This window comes from Homo sapiens, chromosome 15 (assembly GCF_000001405.40).
Source record: "Homo sapiens chromosome 15, GRCh38.p14 Primary Assembly".
In the NCBI taxonomy this organism is placed as follows: Eukaryota; Metazoa; Chordata; class Mammalia; order Primates; family Hominidae; genus Homo; species Homo sapiens.
In genome coordinates this window covers 34,750,030-34,772,756 of record NC_000015.10, presented here as the reverse complement: position 1 = coordinate 34,772,756, position 22,727 = coordinate 34,750,030, and the positions used below count along the sequence as shown (strand labels likewise).

At 42.6% G+C, this 22,727-nt stretch overlaps 1 protein-coding gene and 1 long non-coding RNA gene across 3 annotated transcripts in view; one reads left to right on the top strand and one right to left on the bottom strand.

Annotated features, from left to right (window-relative positions):
• GJD2-DT (GJD2 divergent transcript) overlaps positions 1–17,673 on the bottom strand; it is a 57,840-nt gene extending 40,167 nt beyond the window's left edge. The window contains exon 1 of the long non-coding RNA NR_120329.1: positions 17,536–17,673. This is a non-coding gene — a long non-coding RNA (GJD2 divergent transcript). The remainder of the gene's footprint in view (positions 1–17,535) is intronic.
• An 85-nt stretch (positions 17,674–17,758) lies between these two features.
• GJD2 (gap junction protein delta 2) lies at positions 17,759–21,725 on the top strand. 2 transcript variants are annotated; one of them, XM_017022438.2, is made up of 2 exons: positions 17,759–18,021; positions 19,385–21,725. In XM_017022438.2, exon 2 carries the CDS (start codon positions 19,467–19,469, stop codon positions 20,277–20,279), a length of 813 nt encoding a protein of 270 aa, XP_016877927.1. In that variant the 5' UTR covers positions 17,759–18,021; positions 19,385–19,466; the 3' UTR covers positions 20,280–21,725. The 2 variants fall into 2 exon arrangements, with proteins under 2 accessions (XP_016877927.1, NP_065711.1); NM_020660.3 differs by having other exon boundaries at positions 17,759–18,339.
• Positions 21,726–22,727: the final 1,002 nt, after the last annotated feature.

The following is a 22,727-nucleotide window of genomic DNA, read 5'->3' as shown; positions in this document are numbered from 1 at the left end:
AGGAGACTGGTAGGTTCTTGCCTGCAAAATCTAATCAGCCCAGGAGAAAGATAAAAAATATTAGTATCAGGGGTGACTTAACTCAATGACCCATTGTGATATTCTACAAAATCTAGTGACCTTTTGGGCAGCATCACTCTTTGTTATGAGGGCTGTCCTGTGTTTTGTAAAATATTTAGCAGCATGCCTGGCCTCTACCCACCAGATGCCAGTACTATCTCCCAGAGTTGTGACAATCACCAGTGTCTTGCCTGCTGTCGAGAACCATAGCTCTATATTGCCCATAGTTGGTAGGTCCGTCTTGTGCTCTCAGATTTCCTATCAGGTTCTTAGTGCTTTATTCATTCCTAAACATGAGTTGACAACCAAAAGTCAGCAGATATCTGAAGAGAAGAGCCTCTAATGTGAAATACAGAGATCAAAATAAACATTTTAAAAAGTTTAGAGGAAAGACAGACTATAAAAGGAGATGAGAACATCAAATATTATAATTATTATCCTGAGAACGAGCAAAGACAATGCAAACAAACTCTCAGAAATTAAAAATGTGACCATAGATATTTTAAAAATGCAACAAATGAAACGCAAGAAAAAGCTGAGGAAATCTCTCAGAAAGCAGAGAGATGGAGGATTAAAGGAAGATAAAAATTAGAGGATGAGACCAGGAGGACCAAGATTCAAGTGATACCTTCTAGAAGGAAAGAACAGAGTAAATGGAGGTGTTGGTTTGAAGTAAATCAGCAACAAACAATTCAACAACTTTTCCTGGAACTGACGGGCATCAGTTTTGTTGTGGTGGTGGGGGTGGTGGTGATTGTTTAAAGGGCCCCCTTCGTATCTAGCACAGTAGATGAAGCAAAGATTCACACCAAGCAAAGCATACTATCGTGAGATTTTTAGAATACTGAGGTCAAAGAAAAGATCTCAAAAGCTTTAAAAGAAAAAGTTGCATACGCTACTTCAAAAATCAGAAAGACTTTGTTTTCAGATGTAACATTGGAAGTTAGAAGACAGTGGAGGAATGACTTTAAAATTCTGACGGAAATGATTATGTAACAGTAGATTGAATTCACTTGCAGATGTGAGAGGTCTTTAAAATGTTCCTCCCATGGACTCTTTCTCAAAAAGCTACCAGAGGAAGGGCTTCACCGAAACAAGAGAGAATATCAAGAAAAAATAAATTACACAGAAACTCAATCAGGCCAGTTTGAAGAAGTCGGAATGTTGCAAAAGATATTTCTCCATGAACATGTAACTTGTAGAACATGATGTATTCAAATATTTTGAGAGATGATTGAGGCAACAGAGGAAAATTTGGGGTTTGAAGTAGTGATAAGTCCTTAGAAAACCAAGCATACACACAAACAGAAATTTTCATACCAGGGAGAACAGAATTTTGCACAGGAAAGAAAAGAATTATGGAATATAACACTGCTAAGTTGTGAACACTGTTTATGTAGCTACCATAATATAAACTCTATCTGTTCAACAAATTATATTGTACTGTAGTTATTTTAGGAAGATGGTAGAACCAGAAAGCTGAGGTATGTGGTGGGGCATGTGCTGATAGAGATAAACACTGAATCCAATTCTTCCATGTGGGCAAGTGAGACTGTGTCTAGTACTTGATATATCTTGTGGGGCCATACCTGTGTACACGTGCACAGATCCTATCACATGGATATAGGTTTACACTATACATTCATCTCATGGTTTAATACCGTATGAAACAAGTATTGGCTGAAGCATTAGATTTGTGTCATGGTTCTTGGTTTAACCGTTTCCTTGCTGCATGATTTGAGCAGGTCATTTAATCTCTCTAAGCCTCAGGTTGATCACAAGTAAAATGGGAAATTTTATTCAGTCCACAAACAGTCATTGAGCATTTCCCATGGGTCCTGTGGAACGAGAGCTAGAACATACACTTCTAGACTTCAAGTTCAAGGAGGGAGGCAGACCAGGGAGCTGATGGGATATGACCAGGGTGCTGAGGGAGCACAAAGGAGAAACGGAGACCAACGTTTATTGAGCACTTACAATGTGCCGGGAAATATGTCATGTGATGCTCCCAGAAACCCAGTGATACTACTGGCCTTTTAGTGGAGGATGCCGATGCCCAGAAAAGTTAAGTAATTTAACTTGAGTTGTACAGCTAGAAACAAGTGGCAGAGCAGAATTTAGGCCCAAATCTTTCATGATCCCATTAAATTACCTCTTCAAAAACAAGTGCCCTCCCATGGACATACAGAGTAGAAGAGCAGACATTGTAGACTCCAAAAAATGGGAGAGTAGTAGCGGGGTGAAGGTGAATGATGAAATACTACCCATTGGGTACAGTGTTTACTGTTTGGGTGCTGGTTACACTGAAAACCCACACTTCACTATGCAATATATCCATGTAACACAACTGCACTTGCACCTAAGTCTATACAAATAAAAAATTCAAAACAATAACATGTGCCCCCATAAGGGGCACCAAGCCTAAAGAAGAAGAGGAAGGGTCAGAAAGGATTTCTGCAGAAGGCTGTGCCTGAGGGGAGGGTTAATGAATGGATTCTGCTGGTCATGGAAAAACCGGGACATGAAATCTCTCACTCCTGGACTGGCAATCTACCGCTGCTTTATTCATAAAGCTTCACTTAGCAAATATTTGAGTGCCTATTACATGCAGGGCCCATGCTAGGTACTGAAGGGGATAAAAGTAAAACCAAAGCAGAACGGAACAAAACAAAAGCAATTCCTGCTCTGGATAAGCTTATAGTCTATTGGTGACTATTTTTATTTTATTACATGGCATGGAAAATTACATGCTGGAAGGAGCACCTGACACAAATACGCAGGGATGTGGTGGGGTGGGAGCAAGGGGAGTCTCCCTAGATAGCTAGCTGGCCTGAGTCTGGAGGAAGAAGTAGGGGTTAGGAGAAGGCTAAAGAATAGGCTTCCTAGGCAGAGGGCACAGCACATGTGGTGCCCTGAGGCATACTACAAGTGTGAATTTGGGAGACTGTGGCTAGTTCAGTATGACTGAAACTTAGGTGCTCAAGGAGGAGCTGTAAAAGATGAAACTGAAGAGAGAAACAAGAGCCAGTTTATGTAAGGCCAAACTGCTAAAGACATGGAAAGTTTTATATTAATGGTGAACCATAAATAGGAGAGGAAGGACTGGACTTTCAATGCAGGTCAATCACTCTGCAGCACAAAGGGTGCACAGGAGTGTCAATGGGAGCAGGGAGGCCTCTGGGGAGGCAAATGAATTATTCAGGGAAGAAAGGAGAAGTGACCTGAATGAGGGCAGTGACAGAGATGAAGACAGGCAGTTGGATTTGAGAGTGCCACAGAGGTGCTTAGTTCCTGCTAAGATTTCTGCCCAAATTCCCCTGACAAGAACTGGTCTGGAGCTTGTGAGAGCAGGGACAGCCTATCTGCAGCACCATTTTGTCCAAAGTTGCCCTAATTCATGCCATAGCTCCCTTCTGAGGCTACAGCAGGAGAGGAAGCTTGAGGTCAATGAACTGGAGCCAGCCCGTGGGAAAGGTGAGGAAGGGGCATTCCTTGCAGAGGGAATAGCATGTTTTTGGGGGAACTGCAAAAAGACCCCTACGGCTGGAATGTAAGGAGTATGTGGCAAGAGGACAGGTAATCAGGCTGGAAAGATAGGTACAGGCCAGATCTTCAGCAACTTTCTTTATTGGCTTGCTAATGAGTCTGACCTTTCCAGAAGGCTGTAGGAACCACTGATGAAATGCAAATAAGTTGGCCAGATTTCATTATAGAAAGAACATTCCATTAGCAGTATGAAGGATGTTTAGAAGATAAATAGGGAGGCTATTTTGAAAGGCTTGGGCCAAATAAGTTATAAGAGAAGAGAGCAATGAGAATGCTTTTAGAGATATTTAGGGGATAAACAGGTCATAAAGACTTCATATATGGGTGAGGAAGTAGGAGTGGACCTCCAGATTTCTAGCTTGAGCAATTAGGTTATATTTTGTGCAATCAGGCTGGCATAAAAATAAACTAAATAAGGATGGGTGTATATCAGTTAGAGTTCCAGCAGGGAACATATGACTCACTCAGCTGTGATTTTTGAAGAAACTTTTCAATCAAGGAACTTTCTATAGATGTGTGGGCAGGTTTAAGGGAACCAACAAAGAATACTGAGATACCCAAGGTCTAGCAACAGTAGGAAGTTTTACTACCCAAAGGTTCACAGGGACAAGGGAAAGAAATAGAATTACCTGAATGCTGTGAGACCTGGGGCCCATGGAAGAAACTGAAACTAATCACAAAGAGATGGAGCCAGAACTTCAAGAAACAGGGAGGAGTAAATGCCTGACCTTGCACCTCTTTCACCTGTCAATCTTCTGCCAGGACTTCCACTTAGCCAAATTCAAACGCAAACCCAAAGTTGCAGTCTGTAAAGGTCAGCCTCCCAGGACACAGAGCAGGGCTGAGAATGGCAGAAAACGGATCTGGGGGATGACAGAATAGGAGAGAATTGTGGAAGAAAATATTGAGTCCTGTTATCAATATTTTGGCTTCTAGGCATCTGTGGGGCAATCGTGTGGAGCTCGGCAGAGTTCTGGGCTGCAGATAGATAACTGGGCACCAGTGTCCAGTTTGTTGATGACCTATGTTTCATACTCAAGGATTGTTAGGGAGATTAGACATGATATTAGTGCTTTAAAAAGTGCTCTGGATTAATAGGCATTGAATGACCCTCAGAGAGATTGCAGTAGTTCTTGCAGTTTATGCATTTAACTAGTAGTAGCTTGAGTATTTATTTCTCCAGTAGTTGTCAAGATGTATAAAATTATATGGAAGAGAGGGACAAACAAACAAACAAAACCTGTCTTCTTCGCATAGATTAAACCTATTAAATATCTGTTACATTTAGCACACAGGTATCTAAACTTTTTGCTTTAGGTAATTTATTTTTCTCATACAGGTTTCTTGAAGTTTTAAAGACTGTACTAAATGATAAATATCAATTATGTATCATACTTTAGAACATAGTTCCAAGATCTTCTAAATAAAATAAGATATTCTTATAGAAATAACACATCAAGGCCAGGCGCGGTGGCTCACGCCTGTAATCCCAGCACTTTGGGAGGCCGAGGCGGGTGGATCATGAGGTCAGGAGATCGAGACCATCCTGGCTAACAAGGTGAAACCCCGTCTCTACTAAAAATACAAAAAATTAGCCGGGCGCGGTGGCGGGCGCCTGTAGTCCCAGCTACTGGGGAGGCTGAGGCAGGAGAATGGCGTGAACCCGGGAAGCAGAGCTTGCAGTGAGCTGAGATTGCGCCACTGCAGTCCGCAGTCCGGCCTGGGCGACAGAGCGAGACTCCGTCTCAAAAAAAAAAAAAAGAAATAACACATCAATAATTAAATAAGTTTTTCCAGGGGAAAAAAGTGCTCTGGAAATGCTAAGATACTAAGGTATGAAGCAAACATAAGGTGGTGATATTGTTAGTAATACTATTCTTAGGAAACACACTTTGAATGAAAGGTAAACCTATCCTGTATGATCTGTCCATTCATCAAAAAAGCCTGCATGGACTCCCGCCCCATCTCATCAACATGTATAAAGCTTGATGGTGTGCATAACCACACACTTCAAAGCAGCCCCTCTTGAGTACCATTTGGAAGGTCATGTACATATTACAGCATGCTGCCTCTGCATAGAACATTTTAGGAACTCATCCGCTGTTCTTTCTGGAGCTGGCAAACATGTTTATAAATATCCTCAGTAAAGGCAAACTCATTATTTGAAGGGGAATTTGATTTTGTAAATAACCGAAAGTCACTGGCTATTTAGTGGTCAACACAAGAAAACCTCTCAACTTGTAAGTTGGAGAACCTGAATCCCAGCTCAGAGTTGGCGAGAAATTCTACATGATACAGGGGCAAAACATTTTGTCTCCTTCTTTCAAATCAGACTCATTAAAATATATATTTTCAGAATCCAATAATAAAAAGTAATTGGATAACGAAGCTGGCACAACTTACAGTAAAAAAATTAGGTGTGATTTTTCAAGTAATTAGGATTTTCTTACGTACTAACAAGGGGCCCTGAAGACAGTTTCAAGTCTCAGAAATTGTTTGAGTTATCGCACCAAATCTGGAGAAAATCTATATATTCTTAAGAAGACGGCTTTTATTTTGTTCTGTTCACGATTTGTTTATAAATAGCAGTATTGATCTCCTTAGTCTTATTTGATGATTGTGTCATCTATAAGTAATTTTACTCAAAAGGAATGACCAAAATCTCTGGAAATTCTCAGACATTAATGTCTCAAAATGATCTTTATCCTCCAACAAACCCCACCTTCTACCTAGACTTGGCCCTGGCCATGACTGAACTGTAGAGCTCAGGCAAAACCTGGGTTTCTAAGGAAAAAAAAAAGGGTGCACAGAAGTCCTGGCCTCCCTAACTGGGGAGCCCACTCTTACTGCCTCGTTAAAATTGCTAGATACCAGGGGACTGCCTTCCACAATGTATTTACTGCACCCAGAGAAAAACATGTTTGAAAAAGGCATTGCAATTAGTAATTGCCATTTAAGATTCAACTAATCATAAAGGTCTTTATGTTGACCATTATAATCAGGGCCTATTTATTTCCTACATAATGACAATGCTTGACGATGGCTCTGAGGAGTCATCTCTCATTTACCTGGCAGCAGACAAGGCTAAATCCTCGAGGTGTTTCTAGTCCTCAAGGGAAGGAAGCTAAGTGCATATGGGTGTTACATGCATACCTTATTTTATTGCACATTGCAAACACTGTGCTTAATACACTGTGCTTGAAGGTTTGCGGCAACCCTGCATCAAGCAAGTCTAGTGGTGTCATATTTCCAACAGCATGTGCACACTTCGTGTCTCTATATTACATTTTGGTAATTTGCATAATTATTTCAAATGTTTTCATTATTAGCATATGTTATGGTGATCCACGATCCATCATCTTTGATGTTACTATTACAATTGTTTTGGGGCACCATGAACTATGCCCACACATGCCCACATGTGAACGTAATCTATAAACATGTGTGTTCTGACTGCTCCACTAACTGACCCTTCCCTCATCTCTCTCCTTCTCTTTGGGCCTTCTATTCCCTGAGATACAAGAATATTGAAATTCGGTCAGTTAATAATCCTACAGTGGCCTTTAAGTGTTCAAGTGAAAGGACGAGTCATACATCTCTCACTTTAAATCAAAAGCTAGAAATAATTAAGCTTAGTGAGGAAGGCACGTTGAAAGCTGAGACAGGCCAAAAGTTAGGCCTCTTGCTCCAAACAACCAGGTTGTGAATGCAAGGAAAAAGTTCTTGGGGCCGGGCGCGGTGGCTCACGTCTGTAATCCTAGCACTTTGGGAGGCCGAGGCGGGCGGATCATGAGGTCAGGAGATCGAGACCATCCTGGCTAAAATGGTGAAACCCCGTTTCTAATAAAAATACAAAAAATTAGCCAGGTGTGGTGGCACACGCCTGTAGTCCCAACTACTCGGGAGGTGGAGGCAGGAGAATCGCTTGAACCCAGGAGGCGGAGGTTGCAGTGAGCCGAGATCGCACCACTGCACTCCAGCCTGGGCGACAGACCGAGATTCTGTCCCCTCCACAAAAAAAAAAAAGTTCTTGAGGGAAATTATAAGTGCTATTCCAGGGAACATAAGAACGATAAGAAAGTAAAATGGCCTTATAGCTAATATGAAGCAACTTTTAGTGGTCTTTATAGAATATCAAACCACAACATTCTTTTAAGCCAAAACCTAATCTAGAGCAAGGCCCTAACTCTTTTCAATTCTATGAAGGCTAAGAGAGGTGAGAAAGCTGCAGAAGAAAAGTTAGAAGCCAGCAGAGGGTTGGTTCATTACATTTAAGAAAAGAAACGATTTCCATAACATAAAAGTGCAAGGTGAAGCAGAAAGTGTTGATGTAGAAGCTGCAGCACATTATCCAGAAGATCTAGTTAAGATCTTTGATGAAGGTAGCTACACTAAACCACAGATTTTAAATGCAGACAAAACAGCCTTCTATTGGAAGAAGATGCCATGTAGGACTTTTATAGCTAGAGAGAAGTCAGTGCCTAGCTTCAAGGCTTCAAAGGACAGACTATCTTGTTAAGGCCTAATGTAGCTGGTGACTTTAAATTGAAACCAATGCTTATTTATCATTCCAACAATTCTAGGCCCACTAAGAATTACGATAAATTTACTCTGCTTATGCTCTGTAAATGGAACAACAAAGCCTGGATGACCAAACATCAGTTTATAGCATGGTTTGCTGAAAATTTCAAGCCCACTGTTGAGATCAGTAGATCTAACAAAAACAACAACAACAAATAAAACTAATACCTCTCAAAATATTACTGCTCATTGACATGTGTGTAGTCACCCAAGACCTCTGATAGAGATGTACAAGGAGACTAATGTTTTCATGTCTGCTAACACAACATCCATTCTGTACCCCGTGAATCAAAGAATAATTTTGACTTTGAAGTCATACTATGTAAGAAATACATTTCATAGGACAATAGCTGTCTTAGACAGTGATTCCTCTGATGGATCTGGACAAAGTAAATTGAAAACCTTTCTGCAATGGATTCATCATTCTAGATGCCATTGAGAACATTTGTGATTCATGGGAGGTGGTCAAAATTTTAACATGAACAGGAGTTTAGGAAAAGTTGACCTCAACCCTCATAAATGACTTCAAGGAGTTCAATACTTCAGTGGAGAAATTAACTGCAGATGTGGTAGAAATAGAAGAGAACTAGAATTAGAAGTGGAGCCTAAAGATGCAACTGAATTGAAGCAATTACATGATACAATTTGAAAAGATGTGGAGTTGCTTCTTAAGAATGAACAAAGAAAGCAGTTTCTTGAGATGGAATCTACTCCTGGTAAAGATGCTGTGAACATTGTTGAAATGACAACAAAGAATTTAGACTACGACGTAAGCTTAGTTGATAAAGTAGTGGCAGGGTTTGAGAGGGTTGACTTCAATTTTGAAAGATGTTCTATTGTGGGTAAAATGCTATCAGTATTGCACGTCATAGATAAATCTTTTGTGAAATGAAAAGTTAATAGATGCAGCAAACATCGCTTTTTGTTTGTTTGTTTGTTTGTTTTTTGTTTTTGAGATGGAGTCTCACTCTGTCACCCAGGCTGGAGTGCGGTGGTGTGATCTCGGCTCACTGCAACCTCTGCCTCCCAGGTTCAAGTGATTCTCCTGCCTCAGCCTCCCCAGCAGATGGGATTACAGGTGTGAGCCACCATACCTGGCTAATTTTTATATTTTTAGTAGAGACATGGTTTTTCCATATTGGCCAGGCTGGTGTCAAACTCCTGACCTCAGGTGATCCTCCCACCTCGGTCTCCCAAAGTGCTGGGATTACAGATGTGAGCCACCCCAAGCCTGGCCTTTTGTCTTATTTAAAAAAATTACCACAGCCTTCCCAACCTTTGGCAACCACCACCTTGATCAGTAAGTAGCCATCAACATCGAGGCAAGATCCTCTACCAGCAGAAAAATTATGACTGGCCGAAAGCTTGGATGATCATTAGCATTTTTAGCAATAAAGAATTTTTGAATTAAGAAATATCCATTATTTTTTAGACACAATGTTATTGCACACTTAAGAGACTACAATATAGTGTAAACATAACGTTATTTTTTGTTTGTCTTGTTTTATTTTGTTTTGTTTTTGAGACAGGGTGTCACTCTGTTGTCCAGGATGGAGTCCAGTGATATGATCATGGCACACTGCAGCCTCAAACTCTGGGTCTCAAGTGATGCTCCCACCTCAGCCTCCTGAGTAGCTGGGAATATAGGCAAGCGCCACCATGCCCAGGTATTTTTAAATTTTTTGTAGCGACAGGGTCTCCCAGTGTTGCCCAAGCTGGTCTCAAATTCCTGGGCTCAAGCAATTCTCCGGTCTCGCCCCCTAAAGCACTAGGATTACAGGAGTGAGCCACCGTGTCCAGCCTAAACATAACGTTTATATGCATCGGAAAACCAAAAATTTATGTGACTCACTTTATTGTGCTATTTGCTTTATTGCAGTGCTCTGGACACAAACTATCTCTGAGGTGTGCTTGAACTTGAGTATAACCAATCAGCAATGTTAGTATTGTCACTAGTTTTCTTGCATGCACTCTTGCCAACCTCCTCCAATCTATTCTAACTGTAATGCAAATAGATTGAACTTTAAGAAACAAATATCATGTCACTTTCCTCTTACATGCCTTCAAATACTGCACATTACTCTTAGGGAAAATGCTAACAACTCTATCCTAGCCTATATGGCCCTGCCTGTCTCTCCAGCCTTGTCTCAAACTTCTTTCTCCTTTGGTGTGGACCAGTCAGAGAGACCTTGCAGTTCTTTGAATGTGCGACTCTTTCCTACCACAGGGCCTGTTTACTGCTGTTCCTCCCGCTCAGAAAGCTCTTCTTCCACCTCTTTCATCTGGCTTCCTCTTCCTTTAGAGCTCAGCTGAAGATTCCCTTTCAGTCCCTAACCCTTCCCCAGAAAGTAGGTCAGCCCCTCCCTGCCCCATTCTGTACTCAGGGCTGCACATCTCAGAGCTATCTACAGTAGTTACTTACCACAGTTTTAAAATTACACTTTAGTACTTTAGATTACTTGGTTAATTAATGTTTGATTAAATAGTCTATGCCTCTCTTGCTAGATTTTAAACTCCATGAGGTCAGGGACCATGTTGTTTCGTTTACTGCTATATCTCCCTGGCACATAGTAAGCAAAGAATAAATCTTCATTCAACAAATGAATGAATGAGAGGGCTAAGATTCTGTATCTGTAAAGATTAAATATTAATGGGCTGGAAGAATTTGGTTGCAGCGGTGCATGTGCACACACAGTAGATATCCATGCACATCTATCGGTTTTTAGATGTGTACTCCAGAAAGGTAGAGGTGTAAGAGATAATGTGACCAGTAGATAAAGAGAGAATACCATGCTATTAACTCATTCATCCATTTTTTATTCATATTTGTTCATTCAAGTGTCACAAGAAGGAAAATTTGTTTTTATTTGAACAGCTGGCACTATAATTTTCCTTAGGAAGAGAATTGCCTTGGTTGCAACAATAACACAAAAGGCTGTGGAAAGTATTTGGGTTAAGAAGTTAGTCCTTCCCCCACACCATTCGCTCTACCACCAAGCAATGACAGATTAATACCAGTCTAGACATGTAGCTTTCTGATCATCTGACCTGTTGTAGAGACAAAGTTTAGCAAAATTAGAGAAAAAAGTGACCAGCTCAACTCTTAGTGGATTCCTCCTCTGTATCAGTTGTCACAACTTGGTCATTATCATGAACTATACAACAGACATTTTAAAATGGAGGCCACTAACAAGTATCTGGCTCAGGAAATTCTATGCTTTTGATTGAAATATCTGTTCTATAGACCCCAGACAGCAGTACTGAAATTGTATTGTAAGCAATAACACATTTGATCTATACTCTTACCTTAATGGAAGACCATCCCACTTCTGCATAAAATAGAAAAATGTAATTATTGACATCATGAGAGAAACAGTGATGCTGAAGCACAAAATCCATGGACCGTTCTTCTTGTGTTCTGAATAAAAGATGTAATCGGATGCAATCATTTCATTAATACACACATGGCCCTATAATGGGAATACAGAGGACCAGATGGCCAGGAGTAGACTGAGATGAAACGAGATGGGTGTTTGCAGTTTAGCAACTAACTACTTAGCCTGTATGGATTATATTAAGTACATACAGAACCACATGAACACATTTTCAGAATGAAATTTTGACTTTGTGTCCAGAAGCACCATCCCCAGCATGAGGAAAAAGCCCTGCAAGGCTGTTATGCCTGAGTAGTTGGTAGCATATATTATTGTATTAGTGCTCAAACGTGACTGCCTATTGAAATCACCTGGAGAGTTTTAAAAATATATATTAAAGCATAGATCTCACCTCCAGAAATGCTGAGTTAATTGGTCGGGGTACAGCTTAGGCACTGGGATTTTTCAAAGCTCCCCATGTGATTCTATGGTGTAGTAAAGTTTAAGAATCATTACATTTGTGTAATTTCTGTATTTCCACAAGTAGGAGCACTTTGTCGATCAATAAAAGAAGCAAGTGCTTGTGTGGTGTCATTTGGGAGGGCTCATAACACTACACCCTTGCCCCCAAACAGCTATTCTCTCCTTATGCATAGTGTTTGGAAAACTACCTAGGAAATTTCATTTCTTTGGATGAAGGCTTTGCAACTTAAATGAGGATAATTCTTCTGAGAAGGATAATACATTAAGTGGTTATCGGTTATTAACACTCTGGTGTGCGCTCGTTTATCGGATTACTTTCCTTTATGGTGGTGGAGTGACATGCAGGGACTGCATGAAGCACAATGGTGGGAGGCTCTAAGGTCAATAGGATATGAATTCAAGGTAAGTTCCAGGAAAGAGTTGACCAAGGCAGTCTATAGTCAAGGTGGAATGATGAGTATATACCAAAAAGAGACAGTGTGAGAATCTGAAGGTCAGAGATGACTGAGCCAGACCACATGGGCAAGTTGGAGTCCATGCTCGTGACAAACCCTTGGCTGAGCATGAGATGAGCAATAAGTGAGTGGTAGCTCCTTTCCAGCCTCACCTCAGCTGCAGAAACAAGAGGCTCTTCACGCTAGATTTGAATGTTGGTGCCTAAGAGTTGATCAGAAGGCAAGTAGTTGACAAGAACTAGAAAAATACAAAAGCCTCTGTGCTGAGTAATGCCTGAGCCCCCAGAGTCCCAGCAAAAACAGAAATTAGCTGAATTTCAGGAAGTCAAGATATCAGGCAACCAGGGGAGTCCACGTACAATTATGAGCGCAAGAAGGAACCTTGAATGTAAGCTTCAGATCTTAGAGAAGGTTCTTTTGGGATGAATACCAATTCCTCTTAATAATCTTGGCACCGGGATGGAACCAACTTTTAGCTCTTGTAGCAGTACACTCTGATGTGGAAGAAGAGCAGAAGGGCACATGTGGGAAAAGAAATATATTCTCCCAGCTTAACAATTCTGTCAAGGGCAGGTCCTACCGATGTGCATTTCCCCTGCAATTTCCTCATCTCTTTCATACAGACTAGAAAGGCACTCAGCAGGAAGCCCTGCTATAGCCTGCCTTGCTGGGCCTCTGGCTGGACAGCAACAATGAGAGTGAAGGGAAGGGTGCCTAGACACCAGGCGGGCAGGCTCTTCTGCACTGTAGCTGAATGCTATTCATGGGAATAGCACTGACTTCAAAGAAATCTCTTTGTGCAGGTTTAATGAGCCCCCCTGGGAAGCTCCTGATGTGAATGGGAATCACGACTTGATATAAAAGTGAAAGATTATGTGTCAGCAGGAATGATTTGATTCTTAATGCAGTGTTAATTTATTTGCTGTGATTTCACACATCTGCTTTGGCCACAATACCATATTACATTAATCCCTGAGATATTATTACACATAGGTATATTCTCTATATACGAGGTAGTCGGGGAATGGGGGAATTTGTATATGTAATTTTTTTAAAGGCTATATACTCTTTTATTCAAAGAACTAGCAGGCAGAAGACTTTAGATTTCCTTACCATTTGGATACATAATCTCTTGGGCCTAAGACATGATTTGGCATTTGGGTCCATGAGATGGCAAAATAATTTTGAAGATAGCAGATTCTGGAGAATCTTAGACCACAAAGCAAGCCACTATATTTAGGGCTACTTAAGATTGGTACATCGGACAGCTTTACTCTCTTTGGAAACATTACTTCATAAATTTTGTCTGAACAGCAAAATCAAGTGTTTTCCTAAACATTTGAACTGAGGCTTATACATAGGGAAGGACACATGAAAGAAAAAAAGAGAAAAACCACTTTGCAGCAAATAAAAATAGATTCCATCTGCCACTTAGGTTCTTTTGAGTCTCCCAAGACAGGTTGGGGTTGCCCCTTAAGAAGACAAGTTGATGGTTTCATTAGGAAACAGATGCACGTAGGCCACTGGGAGAGATAAAGCTCAGTTAATCCTAGCTATTTGTGAATGAAATGTAGGAGAGTTCAACACAGAGATCAATTCCAAATCGAATGCAGTCCCTCCCATGCCACACAAATTTCAGGAGGCTACAGATGCTGGTCCTTCCCAATCCAGGACTGAGCTCAGCTAGCTGGGGTTGCCTCTCTGATGCTGCAGCCCAAGCCTTACCTGCTCAGCTGCATTCCCCCGGTCAGTTCAGCGGGTGTCTGGACTGCAGTATTGAGAGAATAATGGAAGTGAGGGCAGGGGGCTGGTGGTTAGTAAGAAGGCTTTCTACTGAGGGGTCCAGGCTATCCTAAGTGTGTAGGAACTTTCACTTCGCAAAGGGAGCCCCTTTCTCCTTTCTGACTTGAATATTACTTGTGATTGTGGAGGACACCCAGGACCCACTTCTCCTCAGGAAAAGTGCAGTTCTGCTAGGCTGAGGGGAATAGAGAGCCAGAATAGCTGACCTTCACTTTCAACAAATGCTTGAGTTTAAAGACGCTATGAAAAGAACCATGACATATGAGCATGCTCTCTGATCTCTAGGAATTTACAGTCCAGTAGAATAGAGGTCAGTAGATTAATGTTCATTCTTACAACATATACAAAGCTCCTATGAGGTTTCATTTACAAAACATTTGAAGCTGCAAGGCTGAAAGGTTCACCTGGGAGTCTGTGGTTGAGAAGAGAATGAAATTTTGAGCACATATAAGGATAAGAACAAATTCAGACACCCCTATGTAGTAAATGGAATCATTGTTAGTAGCTCTACATTCTCTCCTGTATTATAACATTCAACAACACCCTTTGCTCCATGCCTTTGCAGTTTTTCCCACTAGATGTGGATAATATTTCCCTGCTCTGTTAATGGAAAATACTATTTGGTAAGACATAGATTTGCAGATCAACAATCTAGGTATTTTTTTCCTCTAAATGTCTGGAGGTGAGCATGTTCCCACTTTAATTCCCCTTTTCTTCTTCAAATATCACATTTTTTTCATACTTTTAAATAATTTTGATCTTCTCTAGGATTCTGAATACCACATTCTTCATAGCTTTTCCTTTGCTACCCATATGATTTTAGGCAAGCTAGCTAAGCTTTGGGTCAGTTTTAACACTATGAAACAAATGGATGATAGATTTCCTCATCCCTAGGATTCACTCCTGCCCTAATAGTCATGGAACTAAAAGTTCTCAGGTTTTTATTGTTATTGGAGCTGTGGATGAGAACCCGTTAATAACACAGCTACCTCAATCTTGTTTCCATAGATTTCAATTTAGCAGAATTGGGATGGGATCGCAGCATCTGTCTTTTTAATGAAGATCCCCAGACAGTCTGTTGTGCAGCAAAGGTTATTCTATGAGCATTCTACGAATTTCATTGTTTCTCATCCAAAACTATTATTTTAATAAACAGAATGGCTTTTAAATAAGATGTAATGGAAAGAACTTCCCAGCTGCCTTAAACGGGGGTTTTCAATCAGAGGAGAGTTGAGATAATCAGAATCTATCAAGAAGATACAATGCCCTGAGGAAACTGAGAGATGCCCGGATCCACAGAGAACCATTTCACATTTAATGCACATTTGTTTATCGGAACAAATTATTAATTGAAAATGGAGTTGACTGGACTTGAAGGAGGAAGTACAATGTAGTAAGTGTGAAATTTATGAGTGGTTATTAAAAATAAAAATGGTTATTTCTGAAGTGTGGTGGTGAGACTAAGATTTTTATTTAAAAGTAGCCTACACAGTCCAACTGATGAGTTTTAAAATATAGGTTCTATATATATGCGTCTTTGTGCACTTATACACCTATGTTGTTTGCACATGTTTATATGTGGAATCTATATGGCATATTAAAGTATATTTCAAAATAATACACAAATGATCAACAATTCAGTCATAGCGTAGTGTCTGATAATTGCATTTCCTGCAGTCTATGTTCTTAGGATCATAATCTTTAACGGTTTGGGAAAGCCAACACATAAAATGACAATTTTGAGTTGTGCAGCCTATTTTGGGACATTTAAAGATGTTAAACAGATTTCCCTTTGGACTTACTCATTCACTTCTTGGCTAAGATCATTTACTATAAGAGAGTCTGCCAGACAAGGAGGGAATACAGGGACCTAGGGCCAAGGGGAGTAGAAGGGAAACCTGGGAAAACACACCAAGTTTGGGTTAGGGGATCACCATTCCATCTGGAAGCTAACTGGATAATAGGGTATCCATTCGTCCTCACCCTTGAACCTCCTCCGTGTTCAGAAGGAAACTAATAAATCACTTTATCCCTCTCTCCATTGTTAGTGGACTCTTTTACTCCTTTGCAGTGAAAGGCTGCTTTCTTGGGGTAAAGATGTCAACCCTAGCAGAGGATTTCAGTGATCTTTCTGGCGGCGAAGCTTAGACCGTGTGTTTAAACATCATTTTATGAAGAAGTACACTGTGAGTGGACTGAGGGCCATGCCCTGCACCTTTCTTCCCAGTCCCTGGGCCACCAACTACCCAACCACCTCGGTTGTTCCAGAAGTGAAGGCTCACCATGGTGTGGCTTATGTAATATACATATGTGCTATGATCCCTGTGGATAATTAAGGCTAGGTCCCTTTATATGCCTAGGACAAGTTAGCAACCCTTTCAAGGTCGTGTTTTCGAAAGGATGACAATTACTTTCCCATTGGACTTTTGGTACATTTACATCAAACACTGCCAGCTACAGTGTCTCCTAATACTGACCCCTGGGCTAATTAGCAGCTTAGTGAGGTTGTTTCAATTTTTCAGCAACCAATTAAGTAGTTGCTCTAGACAGAACTGACAACACAATGTGAATTTTAAAAACCGGGATCTGCTGGTTGAGGGGAGAAAGCCAAACCCAGTAAGGCAAGTGGGGGCAGGGCGAGGCTGTGAGTGGCTCTGTTTCTGCTAGCAGAATACTGGGTCTTAAATTCAGATTAAATCACAGTTTACCTGACGAGTACCCCGCCCCCCCTTCCCATTAGTAAAATAATAGCAATAATTTAAAAAGAGCCGAGCATCTGGGTTAGTGCAAGGGGAAGCGAGACCTTTAACCATGGCCACCCCACTTGCTCTTTGCGAGGCACCTGTTAGATGCGCTCGTGTGCCCTGACCCCTATACCGAGAGACAGCTCCACACCTGCATTTACCCTTCAGCCTAAATGGATTCCCATCAAGCCTTTCTCACTTCACTGTCGGATCCACAGAGGCACCGAACCGCAGCCACTCTGCAGAAGCACTCTCAGCCACTCTGTCCCCTAAGGGAGATTTAAAAGTGGTCGCCCCCACTCGCCCTCCCTCAGCCAGCATCTCCATCTAGGGAAGGAATTTCAGTTGTCTCCAGGAGGCAAAAAGCGAAAAGGTGAGGGATGCACCGAGAGAAGAGAAGATACCTACTCACTCCCCTCCCCACTCACCCACGCGTCCGCTCCCGGCTCCCCCTCCGCCTGCTTGGGTCTGGCGGTCAGGTGAGGTTACCTGGGCTCCCCGAGAAGCCCCGAGGGGCGCTGCAGTCCTTCCTTTCGAAATCGCCCCGCTCCCCGCCGGGCCTCCAGGACTCTTGCCCCTCTCCCCCCGCGCGCGTCCCCGGCCCCTCGGGCTCCGACGCGCAGCGACAGCCGCACGGCGCGCTCTGCTCCCCTCCGCCGACCTGGCGTGACGCAGGCGGAGACTACTTAAGGGCGGATTAGAGGCGGCGGCCGCGGATCCCCGAGCCCAGCATTCGGCTCCGCGCGCTCGGCCCTGGCCTCGCAGGCTGCCGCGCCGGAGCGCCAGGTGCCCGCTGAAGTAGCAGGAACAGAGCCGGTGTTCGGACCCTCCCCTGGCCCCCAACCTGCGGCGGAGAGCGGCGCTGAGACTTCTCCTGGGCGGGCGAGCGCTGGAGGACCTGCAGGCTGCCACCCCGCCCCGCCCCTCGTCCCGGCGTCCGCGGGATCCAGACCCGAACCCCGGACGGCGCCCGAGGTTCGTGCCCTCTCTCTAGACCGCGCCAACTGCCCCATCGGTCGGGACGCGCTTGGATTTCTTTCCCCATTTCTTCTCTTTTAAGTACAATAAAAGGAAAGGGGGATTCGAGGATTTTTTAAAAAATTGCTTCTTTAATTGGGAGGCAATTCACTCCCATTCTGGAAGTGCGGCCCGGGGAGGGGCCAGGAGCGGGAACGTGCCCGGTGCTGCCCAGTCTTTGTCTGCTGCCTCCGGATGCACAGCGATGGGGGAATGGACCATCTTGGAGAGGCTGCTAGAAGCCGCGGTGCAGCAGCACTCCACTATGATCGGGAGGTAAGGGCGCCAAGCCGGCGGTCAGGGGGCCCCGTCGGGCGGCCCCCGGGAGTCCCTTCTCACACCTGGACTGAGTCTCCCGCTCCAATCCCCAGTCCGTCCTCTGCCTCCTCCCCATCGTCCTAGGTCAAGGCTCCGGTGTTCCCGGCGATGAGGGATTACCCGACGCCCCGCGATGCCCCCCTCCTCTAGCTACTCCTAACCAGCTGCCCATCCCTTCCCCATCAAGCACCACTGGGGCTTCACTCTTCCCACATCAGAAAAGGAGCCGCTGGCTCAGTCTTGGTCCCTCCACTCTCCAGAGTCAGAGCCAATCTCCATTTGGTTCCCTAAATAGAATCTACAAAGAAGGCAGGATTGCATTTGGACAGAAAAGGGCAAATGGGGAGATGGATTTGCTCTTCAGAGCAGATGCCTCTTTTCTCAACAAATAATTACTAAACCAAACTTATTTGGCGGTGTAAACTTACCGAGCCTACACACCCAATTGCCATTTTTGGGTCTGTATCTATATCTATGTCTCTATCTACCTAGCTTTATATATATATGAGTTCAATATATATGAATATATATTCATAGCCATCTGCTTATATAAAGCATTAAATTTAATATTCATGTTGAGAATAAACTAAATATACACATGGAGTAGTTATTTACACACCCTGTGTGTAGACCTCGAAGCATGCACCATCTGTAAAGGTATTCTGTGTGCATTTGCCATATCCAGAGTGAAGGTGTGTTTTGTGTTTCTATACATTCTATATAGAGAGATGAAATCTATCTGTTGCAAGTAGACTATGTCCAGTGTATGGAGATGTGTGTACCTGGGATCTCTATAATATGAAATATTCCCAGCCTACCAGCACTCAGCAGAAAAGGAAGAGACAAAAAGCTTTCCCAGATTCCTAGTTCAGTACCAGCCCGGGATGGACAGCTCCCCAGTCAAAAGACTGGTAAACACCAGCAAAGGGAAGGGAGGAGCAGGGGTTTCCTGTCAGTGACGCAGCCCGTGAGAACCTCTCTCCCTCCCTCTTCCTCCGTTCAGGATCCTGTTGACTGTGGTGGTGATCTTCCGGATCCTCATTGTGGCCATTGTGGGGGAGACGGTGTACGATGATGAGCAGACCATGTTTGTGTGCAACACCCTGCAGCCCGGCTGTAACCAGGCCTGCTATGACCGCGCCTTCCCCATCTCCCACATACGTTACTGGGTCTTCCAGATCATAATGGTGTGTACCCCCAGTCTTTGCTTCATCACCTACTCTGTGCACCAGTCCGCCAAGCAGCGAGAACGCCGCTACTCTACAGTCTTCCTAGCCCTGGACAGAGACCCCCCTGAGTCCATAGGAGGTCCTGGAGGAACTGGGGGTGGGGGCAGTGGTGGGGGCAAACGAGAAGATAAGAAGTTGCAAAATGCTATTGTGAATGGGGTGCTGCAGAACACAGAGAACACCAGTAAGGAGACAGAGCCAGATTGTTTAGAGGTTAAGGAGCTGACTCCACACCCATCAGGTCTACGCACTGCATCAAAATCCAAGCTCAGAAGGCAGGAAGGCATCTCCCGCTTCTACATTATCCAAGTGGTGTTCCGAAATGCCCTGGAAATTGGGTTCCTGGTTGGCCAATATTTTCTCTATGGCTTTAGTGTCCCAGGGTTGTATGAGTGTAACCGCTACCCCTGCATCAAGGAGGTGGAATGTTATGTGTCCCGGCCAACTGAGAAGACTGTCTTTCTAGTGTTCATGTTTGCTGTAAGTGGCATCTGTGTTGTGCTCAACCTGGCTGAACTCAACCACCTGGGATGGCGCAAGATCAAGCTGGCTGTGCGAGGGGCTCAGGCCAAGAGAAAGTCAATCTATGAGATTCGTAACAAGGACCTGCCAAGGGTCAGTGTTCCCAATTTTGGCAGGACTCAGTCCAGTGACTCTGCCTATGTGTGAGAGGGCAGGTTTCATGAAGGTCTGGGGGATGGCAAGGAGCCCCAAGGCAGATGACTGCTCAGACGTGGCTGTATCCACCCTCATTTATGTGACCCTCACCATTAAGATGTAGGATAAGACTGGATAAAAGAAGATTTTGCACCAATGGGAAAGGAGGAAAAGTGGACCCATTTTCACATATCACCTAATTGGTTCTACAGAGACGATTGGGTAGAGTGATGAAATGGATCAATTAGACTTCTTTGGTCCCTTTCTGTTTATGGCCTAGCCTGATCCTGATAACACTGAACTTGCACAGCTACCAAGTAGGACTTAGCCCTGCTGAGCTCTTTATTCTGGTGAATGGTGTGAGTTGAGTACTTCATTGATATAAAATTTGTGACCTATCTCAACCCATCCCTTTATCCTGAGCCATGGGACAAACATCCTTGAGGCACTCTTCATGTATCTCCCCCACCAGCATGCCCCTTTCCCTCAATCCAAAATAGCATGCCAGCTTTTTTTTTTTTTTTTTTTTTTTTTCCAGAATCTGGCCTTACATTAGACCTAATATGTTTTATTTGCAAACTTAGAGGGAATTACATGGGGTGCTTATTGGAGAACGGCCATGGCAGAGGTTTTCATTAGAGCCCCATCTGACTGGCCCTTAGTCGTGATGAAAACCTTAGGAATGTCTCAATATTTCCAGTTTTCTAACTCAAACTGCACTGGTGCTGTTTACTAGGGATGGGGGATGGGTGGGAGGGAGGGAATTGCAATATGCAACTACAACACTTTTGTGAGATTGTTGTTGCACAGTTAGGCACACGGTTACGAGCTTCAGGATATTTCTGCCTTCCAGCTTGTGGACTTTGGTTAACATTAAAAAGATTTTTTTTGGCTAATATCAAGAGTGTCTAGCTGAGCCACAGCATTTGTAACTGGTGTATCTCACTCATTTTCTTACATAGTTTTGTTGTGCAACACAGCTGCACGGTCATTTTGCCATGATTTGAATTTACCTGTGTGCTTACACCAGAGACCTTAATCATCCCATGTCAATCCTGATTTATTATTTTTTCAGTTACTCTTTGAAACACACACACATATACAGACACACATACAAAATTACTGGCTTAAAAGACCTGCAACTAAACACTATTGGCTAACGTGTGTTTACGGTGACTTATTTGAGACATATACCAAAGGTTCAAAAACCTATTGCATTGGACTGTCAATATGTTTTCTTCTTTTTGCTCTTATTTATTTAAGTGCCATACTGTACCTTTCATATCCACTGTGTATTTAGTTAAAATATTGGCCAAGAGAAACATCTGGGTAATGTGCTTTTATGAAGCCCTTTGTTCCCTTTGAATTATCATTATCATTTTTGATTTAGATATGGACATGGTGTAACACACAACTAAGGATTTGTTTAAAATAAAGTTCTTGCCTTTTTTTGTAAAATGGGAAGAGTCTGCACTTTTTGATGGGGGGTATATTTATTTAAATGCATGATCAAAAATGTTATAACAGAAAAACATTGGGGGTAGGAAGTAAGTCATGGTTGAATAGTATTTGAGGAATGACCAATAAAATACAATCAGCCACTAACAGATGAAGAGAGACTTTTCATGGATATTTTCTTCCAAATCAATGCTTTATGAATGTTCATAAGGGAGTGGTGAGATATTCAAATCGTATGATTTATTAGCTCCTTTCCATTTCAGCTCAAAACTTTCCTTACTTGTCTATTTCTTATAACACAAATGTCAATACTACATCATATTAGCCCATTCCAGGAGTGGAATTTTTTTTTCTTTCCACCACATTTTTTTTTCCTGCCATGGATTAATCATTACACTTGGCGAGCATGCTGTTCTTTCCATGATCTCTTCGGGGTCTGATGCTTAACACAATGCTAACCCGGTAGTCAAGCAGATCTCTCTAGACCAGCGCTGCCAGTAGAACTTTCTGTAATGATGAGGATTTCTTCTATTCATGCTGCCCAATGTGGCAACAACTAGCCACATGTGACTACTGAGCTCTTAAAACATGGCTAGTGCAAATCAAGAACAGAATTTCTAATTTTATTTAATTAATTTAAATAGCCAAGTACGGTTAGTTGCTACTCTATTACACAGCACAATTCTAGACTTTTAATCAATCATTTCTTAGTGGGTTCTTCAAAGGAGATTGATCCTTTACTTACATGTCATAAGACATTACTTTTTAGCCACAACATTTTACTCTCATTTTTGGTATTTTCTGCCTACATATGGTCCCATTATTTCAGCAGACTAGTGTTCTTTCTCATTTCTTTAGTGCTACTCACCTTCTAATTCCAATGAGCACTTGGCTTGAACATTGCGAAGCAACGTGGGGTTTCCTGGACGATTGATTTTCAAACACGATTGTTGCATCTCAACTATGGCAGCACAGATGCCAACTTTAGAATGAAAATATGCT